At 36.5% G+C, this 13,283-nt stretch overlaps 1 long non-coding RNA gene across 5 annotated transcripts in view; it reads right to left on the bottom strand.

Moving 5' to 3' along the window:
- Positions 1-2,165: 2,165 nt before the first annotated feature.
- Positions 2,166-13,283, bottom strand: part of LOC105377188 (uncharacterized) — a 98,853-nt gene continuing 87,735 nt past the window's right edge. For all 5 annotated transcript variants that reach the window (XR_007096264.1, XR_007096266.1, XR_001740800.2 and 2 more), the window contains 2 exons: positions 7,775-9,063; positions 2,166-5,225 (listed from right to left, as the gene is read on the bottom strand). This is a non-coding gene — a long non-coding RNA (uncharacterized LOC105377188). The remainder of the gene's footprint in view (positions 5,226-7,774; positions 9,064-13,283) is intronic.

The following is a 13,283-nucleotide window of genomic DNA, read 5'->3' as shown; positions in this document are numbered from 1 at the left end:
TTGATGTAGCTTGTCTCTCCTATTTTCACGTAATAAATGGACATAAACCTAAGTAAAGGGCTATTTTTACTGTTTTCTTTTCCATTGTTTATGCCACAGGCCAATGTCCTTCAAAGTACACCTTTACTTTTCCTTTCATGTAGCATGAAGGAAATGTCGAACGGTATATATATATTCTTGCCACTTATGTGTCTAAGTTGGTTACATTTTCTAGAAAAGACAACTTAAGCATAAAACCAATTTGAAATTGTTTATACATAATATATGCTATTGGGTCTTTGGGAGCAAGGAACTATATTCATATCCTATGTATTAATATATTGTAAAGACTCTTCTTAAGGTTGATCACTTGGGCATAGATTATAATAGACAAAATATTCCAAATCTCCTAAAATAACATGAGTATTCACACATCATGCCTCACTCACACAAATGCCAACTAACATTCTTAAATTCTAAGTATTTCTCAAAGGACACCATACAATTCATTTTTGGTAAAATTAACAGCAAAAAATTTATTTCTCAAGGAAAAAATTATCCTGCGATTGTTTCTTTTTAGCAGTTTGTATCTTGCTCCACAGAAAATATGGATTACATAATAATTTACTACAAGTATAATAGTTATATTTAAGATTAAATTTTATTTTTCACCAAGAAGTTTTGTTTATATATATAATTGTATTTTTATGGTGGTTTTTATAACTGTGGGTATCTCTTCTATACATTTGATATTATCATATTTTTATATGCTGGGTGAGGTGGCTAACACCAGTAATTTTACCATTTTAGGAGGCTGAGGTGAGAGGATCGCTCAAGGCCAAGAGTTCAAGGCTAGCCTTGGCAGTACAGCAAGACCCTGTCTCTACCAAATTAGCTGGGCAAGGTAGTGAGTGTCTGTAGTTGCAATTACTCAGAAGGCTTATGTGGGAGGATTGCTTGAGCCCAGGAATTCAAGGCTCCAGTGAGCTGATTGTGCCACTGCACTCCAGTCTGGGAACAAAGTGAGATTCTGTCTCTAAAAAAGAATATATATATATATATATATATATTACTATTATGTATATATTCTACTATTACATATATAAGAATATATTTATTCTTTTATATCCTACTGTTATGTATATAATAATATTTATCTATTCTTATATATATATATATAATAGTAGGATTAGTATTAAATTAAACTTAAAAAGTGGGCAAAGGACATGAACAGACAATTCTCAGAAAAAGTTATCCAAATGGCCAACAAACATGAAAATATGCTCAACATCTCTAATTACCAGGGAAATGCAAATTGAAAATACAATGAGATCCAAGAATGACCATAATTAAAAATAAAAAATAATAAATATTAGCGTGAATATGGTGAAAAGGGAACACTTTTATACTGCTGTTGGGAATGTAAACTAGTACCACCCATATGGAAAACAGTATGGAGATTCCTTAAATAACTAGAAGTAGAACTAGCATTTCATCCAGCAATCGCACTACTGGGTCTCTACCCAGAGGAAAAGAAGTCATTGTATGAAAAATACACTTGCACATACATGTGTATAGTAGCAAAATTCACAATTGCAAAAATATGAAATCAGCCTAAATGTCCACTGGCCAAAGAGTAAATAAAGAAAAGGTGGCATATATACACCATGGAATACTACTCAGCCATAAAAATGAATGAAATAATGGCATTTTCAGCAACCTGGATGGAGCTGGAAACAGTTATTCTAAGTGAAGTAACTCAGGAATGGAAAACCAAATTTTGTATGATCTCACTTATAAGTGGGAGCTAAGTTATGAGGCTGCAAAGGCGTAAGAATGATATAAGGGACTTCAGAGACTCAAGGGGAATGCGGGGAGAGGGGTGAGGAATAAAGAATACAGATTGGGTACAGTGTGCACCAAAATCTCAGGAATTACTACAAGAGAACTTATCCATGTAACAAAAATCCAACTTTTCCCCAAAAGCTATAGCAAATAAATAAATAAATAAATAAGATTTGATGCTAAAGAGTTTCTAAGATAATCATTTCCTAAATTTCTTATTTGTGTTCACAGATGCTTCTATCTATTGATCTACATATTCATACACACAATTTTATGCACTTTTACATATGCCTTTTTGGGGTAGGGGTATCAGAAGAGATTAACTAAATTGAATCACCAACTTGGATACTCATACTATTTTAATACATTTTTCATTCAAACAATTACTGAATGTATATTACATGTAAGCCACAGTTTTTTTTCTGATAGGAATACAAACGAGTAAAATACAATCTCTGACCTTAAAGACATCAAAAGTAGGAAAACAAGAAATGTGTGTAACTAACAATGTACATCTCATAATTATTAGGGCTATGTCAGTGACATTGATAAGTGTTATGGAAATGGAGAGACAAAAATTATAAGTTCTTTTTTTGACATTTGGAAATAGGAAATTTCCAAGAAAAGACAGATCATTAAAAATCAGTATCATTTCACTAGTCTGAAAGGAACAGAAAAGGAATTGTGAAAGAGCACGAGTCCAGCAGCTTAGCATAGTTTTGGGCATATAACAAATATTGAACAAAAATTCAATGTATTAAGGATTTTAGACTCAAAAAATGGAAGAGATTGGGGAAGAATGGTGATGGGGAGTGTTGAAATGACATAGGCCTAAGAAAGAAAATCAGGGCAAGAATTTTATTACCATTTTACTCTGTATTAAGGAATTTAGACTTGTTCCTATAGGCAATATTCTGGGAAGGTATTATTTATTTATTTTTCTTTTTCAACTTTTATTTTAGGTTCAGCAGGTACATGTTTAGGTTTTTTACATAAGTAAATAGTATATTTTATAGATTTTGTGTACAAATGATGCCTTCACCCAGATGGTGAGCATAGTAACCAATAGGTAGTGAAAATGTTTAGATTTATGAAAGAATTAGAAAAGGAAAGTGGCCACATGCCTTTCATATTACAAGAGAAAGAACTTGAGGCATGAAGAAGACTATTGAACCTCCAGTGTAAGATTGGGACAGAGAAAATGTGAGAAAGGTGGAAAAAGTAGCATCAATTTATGTACTTTGAAAGAAAAGCAACAGGAAATTTTTGTCCAATGCATTGAGTTCATTTAACAAACATTTTATCAGAAATTATGGAAGATTAGATTTTAATTTATAGAAGAAATTAAAATCTAAAGTAGATATGTAAAATTCAACCTGATAAAAGGAAAAGTCCAGCTGAGTTAAATTTAAAGGAGTTTAATTGAGCAATGAATGATTGGCGAATCAGGCACCTCCAGAATTACAACAGATTCACAGAGACCTGGGGTGCCTCGTGGTCAGAACACATTTATAGACAAAAAAGGTAAAGTGACATACAGGAATCGGAAGTGAGATACAGAAACAGTGAGGCTGGTTAAGCTCCGTTTTTGCCTTATTTGAATGCACTTTGAACTTTCAGCAGTCTATGAGTGGTTGAAGTATGGCCGCTGGGATTAGCGAACACTCAGCCATTGTTACAGACGCATACTATTAAGTTAGGTTTTCAGTTTTGTCTGACTATTAAGCTAAGTTACAGTTCATCTGCAAGAACTCAAATATAAGACTATGGAGTTCTTCCCAGGCCATATTTAGTTTGCTTTAGCAATCATTTCCCTCTTTTGGTCATTTTCTCAATTTTGAGAGATTGACCAAAACCTTAGTCATTGATGTTAATATCACTATCATAAATGTATTATATGGTTTGAAACCCACTGGGAAACAGTAGAAAAGTGGGTTTTGCAAGGAGAGAATAAGGACTGAGTAGACGGTACCTCCTTATGATAGACATCCTGTTTACAGGAGAAAAACAAAATGTAGTCTGTTCTAGCATCTATCTGTGTTCTTAAAGCCTTGGTTTGATTATGTCACATTTAGGATGAGTGACTCCATTTTAGCTTGGTTTCGTTTGTTGGGGCCTAGTGCATGAGCTCAGTCCAAAATAGTGGCTTCCTCTAATTTTGTTGTTTAAAAATTCTCCCTTTTCAGCCAGGTTCTCACTTAGGTGACAGTGTGACCAAAACTTAAGGCCTTAGTGCCATTCTCAGTAACATCATTTAGGGTTTCCAGTCTCAGCACATCATTCGTAGGTTACGATATCCTCAGGGTCACACATTTCTTTCAGCTTTTGTCATTCTGGTTGAATAGAGACCATTTGATGTTCTAGAGATGGCTGCATGCAAACATTTAAAACCTTTAAGAGAATATAGCACATCAGGGAGACTATCATTATGAGTACTGGGAGAATAATAACAAATTTGGAGTGTGCTCCTTACCCAGGGTCCCCATAAACCAAACCATGTAAAATTAAATAGATTAAAGAATGAGCTATATGAAGAGCCTACTTGCTTGACTAGGTGGTCTTTTCATTAATCCCCTACAACTGAAATTGTATAATCTACATTTGATGTATTTCTCCATAGGCCACAGGTGTCAGCAACTGCACAGGTACTTTTCTGTTTGGCCAATTCTATTATTTAGCATAACTTTTACAAGATAATTTAAAGTCTGTTGTGTAACAATAGCCTTTAAAGTAGAATTTGCTGTAGAGCCTATTATGAGGGTGACATTTCTAATTATTGCCTCTTTTATACTAAACTATGGAAAAAGGACCTAACAAATGATGTCATTTTAGAAAAGCGAAGGCCTCCTGGCAATATTCTCTTTAATCCATTATGTGGGTTAAGAAGAGTTTTGACTGATTATGAGGCAACATATGTACCACTACATTTTCTCACCTACATTGAGCCTTCATCTTTTATCTATTAAAGTACAAGGTTATTCATATAAGGCTGGATGCAAAATCCTTCACAAATAAAAGTATACCCTATAAGTGCACATAATAGATCCCCCTTTCATTTCAATTGTTCCTAAAGGCATAAACCGGAAAATATATTCAAATATAAGAGTCTCGTGATAGTAGACGTTTTGATCCAGGATCTTGGGAAAAGCTGTTCACATCAAGGATGCCATCTTCTTAAGGAGATAAACTTTCCTAGTTAATTTTACCTTAAGAGTTTCAATGGTTGTACAGTTCAGGAGTGTGGAGGGGCCCTTCTCAGTTGTAAGATCATGAACCCAAGGTTCAAGGCTCCAAAGCTTTGCTGTAGTGTGGATGGCAAGGACAGTCTTTCTCTGATGTTCTCAGAAGATCCAATCTTTGGGTTCTAGATTGCAAAGGAGTTGTCCTCAGTGAACCATGGGCTTAAGACAAAGGTTTAAAACATTGGATATTACAAAATAGAATCTTAGGTTACCATAAGCTTTTCATTTAGCCATAATAATAACTCGAAAATTTTTAAAAGGAGAAAGCATTATTCGGATAAGGAGGAGACTCAGCTTTCCAAACAAGACTCAATTAAGAGAGCATAGGTCAACTGACTCTGTCTCCTTTCTTTCCCTGCCCCTCTTTTTGTTTTGTAATTTACTTAAAAGGTAAACAAAAACCTTTCATTATCTTTTAATATTACATGTTTTTAAAAGAGAAAGCCAAATTTTATGTTTCCATTTGTGTATTTTTAATGTTAAATCTAGTTTTTGGTAACATTTTATAAATCTATTCAGTTTTAATTAACTCGACCATAAGGTAAGATTTTCATAAACCTTTTATAACCCCTTACAATTTCTTTTTTTCTCAGAGCAGAACAATGTTCTAAGAATATTTCGTTGTGCTTTTATTTCAATGTCTTATTTATGGAAAAAAAAACCCTTGAATAATGCCATTTTAACTTTTGGCAATATGTTCACACATAGAATCTTTTACAATTAATTTTTATAAACCTTCCACAACTTGTTCAAACCTTTAGCTTTATTTAATATAAAATAATCTTTTAACCCTCTAACCTAGGCAAAAATTTACATTCCCATACCTTCATATAATCTCTTACAAAAACACATTTTATTCTCCTTACACATCTTGTATATAAACATATTTTTTCAGTAGTCTCAATTACATATTACAATGTTAACTCTTAGTGACTTTTACTTTTGGTGAAAACCTTGATAAGTAAGGGATTTTAATTATGTATTAGGTGTGGCGCCTAGGACCCAGACAGAAATGCAGATAAGGTCTGACTCTTTCCAGCCTCTAACTTCACATGTCCTAGGACTTACCTAGCTGTAAATCAGGCAAGCTGTACTGTTAAGAGTCATAGTGACATTTTATGAAGCATTTAGGAGGCCTAGCCACCTTTAAATTGTACAACATTTCTGGTGTAAGTTTCTTTTAATACATTCTTTCATGACATACACAGACCATATATGACATGTTTTACTTTATAACCTTTCTTGCATAGGAAGGGGGCATGGCTAATTCCATATCTCCCCAAGTCTTATTTAGAATTTAATGTCTCCAAAATAAATTGAACAATTTTCTTTCTTTTTTTTTTAGACGGAGTTTTGCTCTTGTTGCCCAGGCTGGAGTGCAATGGCATGATCACAGCTGATTGCAACCTCTGCCTCCCTGGTTCAAGGGATTATCCTGCCTCAGCCTCCTGAGTAGCTGGGATTACAGGTGCCCACCACCATGTGTGGCTAATTTATTTTTTGTATTTTTAGTAGAGACGGGGTTTCCCCATGTTGGCCAGGCTGGTCTCAAACTCCCAACCTCAGGTGATCTTCCCGCCTCGGACTCCCAAAGTGCTGGGATTACAGGCGTAAGCCACTGCGCCCGGCAGCATTACAGTTTTCATTTTGCTTTTAAAATATTTGATTTAAGCACTTATTTTTGTTTAAGCCAATTAATTAGGGCTATTTTATATAAATATTATACACAATGCATATATAATTACACAGACAGACAGAAGATTACTACAGTAATTGTAAGATTTTTCATTTGCCAGTTTTTAAGTTTCTTAATTGGTTATTGGCTTTGTGGTGGAGTTCTTGGAAGAACAAGGTCAGGAAAGGGGTTTCTGCTGCCTCATTGTTTTCCCAAGAAGTCCAGGCTGTTAGAGCTTGAATATCCTCTTTTAATTAAGCTGACTTTTAACAGCAGCACTCTAATAAAGTCCTTTTAAAATTTTGTTTAAATGGTCAAATGGCCAATATTTCTGGCTTTTGAGCTTTACCAAAGGTAACCTTTCAGGTGCTCAGAGAAAGGAAAATTTAAGATAGCCCTTGGAGAAGAAAAGACTAGACAAGATCATGCAAATATTAAACCAAAAACAACTTTCTTCCTAAGCAGGGAATCAAACACAGACTGCAAGTGTGAAAGGGCAAAACCTTCGCTACTGAGCTACAGCAGCACAGGGCAATCTCCACTGCTCTTCCCAGAAGGAATCTAGAGTAGTTAATTTTGAGCTTGCAAACGCTTTTAACCACTAAAGATAATTTTTAGAGCTAACTATGACATAAATCCTAAAATTCCTCTTCCCTGGAAGGTGGAGACCAAGAGAAAGTACTGCCACATGGTTACAAGGTCAAGCTCCCAAGGACATAAATCAAGATGGAGACCCCATTCAGTTTTTTTGTTTGTTTTAGGGACCTGTGGGAAAGTTTGTTATTGATCAGCTTGCTGGACCATCTTGAGCAGCCAGCTTATGGGGACCTAAGTCCATGTTTTATCCTAAGGTACTCCTTGACACAGAAAAACAAATTCATAGCACAAATACATCAGTTTAAGGCTAGCCTCAGAATTCTTTTTCTCATTAATCGAATCTTTACAGAAGAGATAAAGAGTGATTTTTACCATTCATTCAACTGCTTGCACAGAAAGAGAAAAGCCAGAAACCTGACTTGTAAGAAATTCTTACCCTTTTGCCGGCATGCCAAGATTCTGGGTTCCCTTTCCCTGAGCAGCCTTAGTGACTCAGCTTGCCACACCATCCTGCTGGGACCAAGATGCATCATAAAGAAAAATTATCTTTTTTCAGTCTGGCCAGAGCAAAATACGTGTGATAAAACATAGATATTAGCTACTCTGCTTAGCACCCAATATCAAATTGGCAAGGCTTAAATTTGCCCTCAGATGGGTCCTGTCATCTTTAATCCAACCTCTGAGTAGGAGTTTCAACACGTGGTCTCTGGGCAAGATGGTCCCTCTGAGTAAGAGAAAAGATAAGAAAGGGAAAGGAGAGAGAGGAAAGCATAGTCTGTGGGAGGTTGGGGAAGGCGAAATGATCAGGGAGGCCAGAGAAAGACCCACACATTGAAGCAACACTGAGAAGTTCAGGTGGTTGCTTCTTGGTAGCAAAGGGCTCTTTTCCAGCAGTCTCCTCATCTCTCAAGTTTCCCCTTTTAGGGAGGAATAAGCTCCCCATGTCCCAGGATCCTGTAAATCCCTAATCCTGTCACCCATAGTCGTCATCAAAGAGTGCAAGACAGATTATTCCAAAGAGAATAGCAGTTGACATCCCGAAGTGCCAAATCCATTCTTAGCCAATGGGAATTTACCGAGAACCATCATTTTTAAATTTACTTCAATGCATTGTTGTTCATTTGCAGCGTTCCCCTGTAAGTTATCTTTTGTAAGATTTTGCCGCAAGACTTCGCTGCCTCCCAGGCTTAAAGTATAAACCAGAATGAACTCAGTTTCCCAGAAATTAAGGATCTCATTTTTACCTAAAATATTGGCTTTACTCTCAGGTTCTCTTGATTAACTTAGCCAATGACTTTTTTCTACCTAAGTATACAAGAAAAATTTAACATAGGAGGTAGAACACAAAAATTCCTGTTATTTTTTAAAAGCCAAATGTTATAACCTCTGCAATATTACTGCTTACTACCAGTTCCTTTCTGACCCAGTCAGATGTAAGAGACCTCTGACTGGATCCAAGCCAGTTCATTCCTGGATCAAATCCATTCGTGGACCCAGTCCTGTTTCTGCCATGATGCCAAACCCATTTTGGATCAGAAATTTGCTCAAAGAAACTCAGGGATCTCAAGACACAAGTCCATGGAGCTCTGAAATCCGAAAAGGAGCTTATCCCAGCTGCTCCCAGAGATCAATGGACACAAGTGGGTCCTGCAGGTTCCTTGCATGTTCATTCAGTGCTCCTGAGGGTCACTAAAAGTTCCACTTCGGATCCGCTTCTGACACCATCTGATAAAAGAAAAATTTCAGCTGAGTTAAATTTAAAGAAGTTTAATTGGCTGGGCGCCGTGGCTCACGCCTGTAATCCCAGCACTTTGGGAGGCTGAGGTGGGTGGATCATGAGGTCAGGAGATCGAGACCATCCTGGCTAACACGGTGAAACCCTGTCTCTACTTAAAAAAAAAAAAAAAAAAATTAGCCAGGCATGGTGGCGGGCACCTGTAGTCCCAGCTACTCAGGAGGCTGAGGCAGGAGAATGGTGTGAACCTGGGAGGCCGAGCTTGCATTGAGCCGAGATCGCGCCACTGCACTCCAGCCTGGGTGACAGAGTGAAACTCCGTCTCAAAAACGAAACAAAACAAAACAAAAAAAAAGAAGTTTAATTGAGCAATGAATGATTTGTAAATAGGGCAGCCCCCAGAATCACAGAAAATTCACAGAGGCTCTAGGGGGTGCCTCATGGTCAGAACAAATTTATAGACAAAAAAGGTAAAGTGACATACAGGAATCAGAAGTGAGGTACAGAAACAGTGAGATTGGTTACAGCTCAATGTTTGCCTTATCTGAACGCAGTTTGAACATTTAGCAGTCTATGAATGGTTGAAGTATGGCTGCTGGGATTGGCCAACTCTCAGCCATTGTTACAGACGCATACTATTAGTTAGGTTTTGAATTTTGTCTGACTATTAAGTTAGGTTACAGTGCATCCACAAGAACTCAAATATAGAAGTACAGAGTCCTTGTCAGGCCATATTTAGTTTGCTTTAACAAGCCACTGCCCTCAAAAACTAACAAACTATTAATTAATAAATGTTTAAGCTAGTAATCTTATATCCCAAATTGACTTTAATCGTTTATATTTCAAGGCTCAGCATTTCTATTTTTAGGCCTCTTAGAATGGAATTAGATTATTCCTTTCACTACATTTCCTTTCTTTACCTGATCTTTAGGTCAGGCACAAAAAGACAACTGTCACAGGTTCTCACTCATATGTGGAGCTAAAATATTTGAACAAATGGAGATGATAAAGGAAAAATAGATAATAGAGACTGAGAAGGGAGAGTGGGGAGGGGAAAGAATGAAGAGAAGTGAGTTAAAGTTGGAATCCCCAACATTGGGGCCCCAGACTGGTACCCATCCGTGGCCTGTTAGGAACCAGGCTGTGCAGCAGGAGATGAGTGGCGAGCAAGTGAGCAAAGCCTCATGTGTATTTCCGGCAACTCTTCATCGCTCATATTGCTGCCTGAGCTCCACCTCTTGTCAGATCAGCAGCAGGATTATATTCTCATAGGAGTTCAAATGCTGTTGTGAAGTGTGCATGCAAGAAATCTGGGTTACATGCTCCTTATGAGAATCTAATGCCTGATGATCTGTCACTGTCTCCCATCACCCCCAGATGGGACCATCTAGTTGCAGGAAAACAAGCTCAGGGTTCCCACTGATTCTACATTATTGTGAGTTGTATTGTCATTTCATTATATATTACAATGTAATGATAATAGAAATTGAGTGCACGATAAGTATAATGTGCATGGAACGTCCTGAAACCGTGACCCCCAACCTCCATCTATGGATAAATTGTCTTCCACAAACTTGTCTCTGGTGCCAAAAAGGTAGGGAACTGCTGGATTAAAGGGTAAAAACATGCAGTAAGATAGAATAAATAAATTCAATGTTTGATAGCAAAGTAGGATGACTATACTTTAAAAATGTATTGTAATTGGGTCCCTGATTTGATCACTGCACATTGTATATATAAAACATTTCTTATGTACCCCATAAATTTTCATAAATAAAATAGTAGGAATTTAATAATAAATATTGCTTTATCCTTGTGGCACATACAATGATATATAGTAAAATGCCATGGGCAGCCACGAAGTAATAGAAAATATATAATTACCCCAGTTGTCCCAAGAGAAACAAATCAGGCAATGACTTTTGAGAGGTTTTCTTCTTTATGCACACCTAAAATTTATTTTTCTGGAAATAGTCCAGCTATTTTTGAAACACCATATGAGATTTGCCTCATACGCACAAAATTAAACATTAAAAATTTGTGCTATACATATATGTATATATGTACATGTTCCCACACATTCGTGTATATATATATATTCAACCAAAATATTATGAGATGCTAGTATTTCTTTCAGCAATTTTTTTAGTTCTCTATGACCAAACAAATGTGGATATCAGAAATGGAGAATTTCTAGGTTTTTCTTTTGTAATCTACATTCAGATAATTTTAAATGTAAACCACTTCTTTGTATATTAAGGAATGTGTTGGTGATTTCACCATTTAAACAAATGTCAATTATTTGTTAGTTCCAGCATAGACTCCTTACAAAGATTTATCAGTAGCTTCTGTTCAACATGTGGGGAGAAAAACATTAAAATTTGATTTTATGGAAATTTAATTTCTACATTTTTATTGTATAGCAGTTATATTTTTTAAAATATGAAACTTTAAAAATAGTGAATTTCTTTATATTCTCTTCTATACAATGCTGTCAGTTTTTTTATGCCTTTCTTTCTAAGGATTTGCATTGCAGTGATTCTGTAAATCTTTCTTAACTCCTGCAAGGATGGTTGATCTTTAGAATGCCGTTGAAAATGAACTTGTGGGACAGGTAATTCCTATGTGGCAAACCTATTTGCACACTGCCATCAGCATGCAATGACAAGACATAAAAACTGTCAGAGCAATTCATGTGAAGAGCATCACACCAAATAACATCATAGAGGACCCATGTAACCAATAATAACACACTCTTTCTGATCTGTTTAATGCCATACATGTAATAAATTGTTCACCTAATTGCATACTATCAAATCTACATTTTATTCAAACCATGTCATGTGTTCCTATAAACAAACACACACACCACACAAAGTTTCCAGTGCATTAGCTTCAGTAAGAAGAAATATGAGACACAGGCAGCTCTGGAGACTCCCTGATAGAAGTAAACCTTTATTACCCCATGGCATTGCTGTAGTAGTTCTAGCCAGCAATTCCACAGACACTTAAATCTAAATTAGTTAATGGTCCTTGTCAGCAGCCTGCAGTTCTAGAGATGCTGCAAAGTATTTCTTTCTTCCAGTCACAGACAGCCTTGGCTAGAGTGAAGGTTATTGAGGAAGTAGGGCGTGTGTCATCAATGAAATATATTGGATCTCTAATGTACGTCTCCTAGAAACTGTTATTAATCCCAAGTTTCTCAGCCTGAAAGTCTAATAGCTGCCAAAAGGAAATAGTGATAGTGGCAGTTAGAGTGACCAAGGCTTAAAAGGTAAATATCTTCCAGGCGTGGACAATTGATAACCAGACTTGAAACAAAAACGTCTACTGCTGAATATCAATCTATTTTAAAACAAAACTAAATTTTGAAAAATGCAATGACTTTATTAAAACAGTGTAATGTTTAGCTAAACATTAATATTTACTTTCATGTGTCTGTGTATTTAAAAACAGCATTTAAGGCCAGGCGCGGTGGCTCACGCCTGTAATCCCAGCACTTTGGGAGGCTGAGATGGGCGGATCACTAGGTCAGGGGATTGCGACCATCCTGGTTAACACGGTGAAACCCTGTCTCTACTGAAAATACAAAAAATTAGCCGGGCGTGGTGGCGGGCGCCTGTAGTCCCAGCTACTCGGGAGGCTGAGGCAGGAGAATGGCGTGAACTCGGGAGGCGGAGCTTGCAGTGAGCCGGAGATCGCGCCACTGCACTCCAGCCCCGGCGACAGAGCGAGACTCCGTCTCAAAAATAAATAAATAAATAAATTAATTAATACAGCATTTAAAAGCTGCATGATCTTGGACAATTTACTAAATATTTCTGGTCCTAGTTTCCTGTTCTTTACAATGAGGTTAATAATGTATCACTTAGATGGCTGTTATGAGTAAATACTTTCAATATTTTAAAGCTGTTAGAACAGTGACTGGCACATAGTGGGCAAGATATCAGTACCTGGTAAATAGACTAAAGAGATTTAGGGAAACTAGTCACAGAAATTCAGTTTAAATGCCTACTTACAAGGATGGGATGAGGCTGATCATTCCCTGTCATTTATAGGCTTCAGGTTCATGAACAAATTGTTTAACCTTGCTAAACCTCATCTGTGAAATGGAAATACTACTTGTTTCATAATATTAACTGTAGGAATTAAAGAGCATGTCCACGTAATGTAGTCAATTGAACAAAACAGATGTTCATACAGAAGAAGT

This window comes from Homo sapiens, chromosome 3 (genome assembly GCF_000001405.40).
Source record: "Homo sapiens chromosome 3, GRCh38.p14 Primary Assembly".
Taxonomy (NCBI): domain Eukaryota; kingdom Metazoa; phylum Chordata; class Mammalia; order Primates; family Hominidae; genus Homo; species Homo sapiens.
The sequence above is the reverse complement of the archived record's forward strand: the minus strand, read 5'-3'. Positions and strand labels throughout refer to the sequence as shown.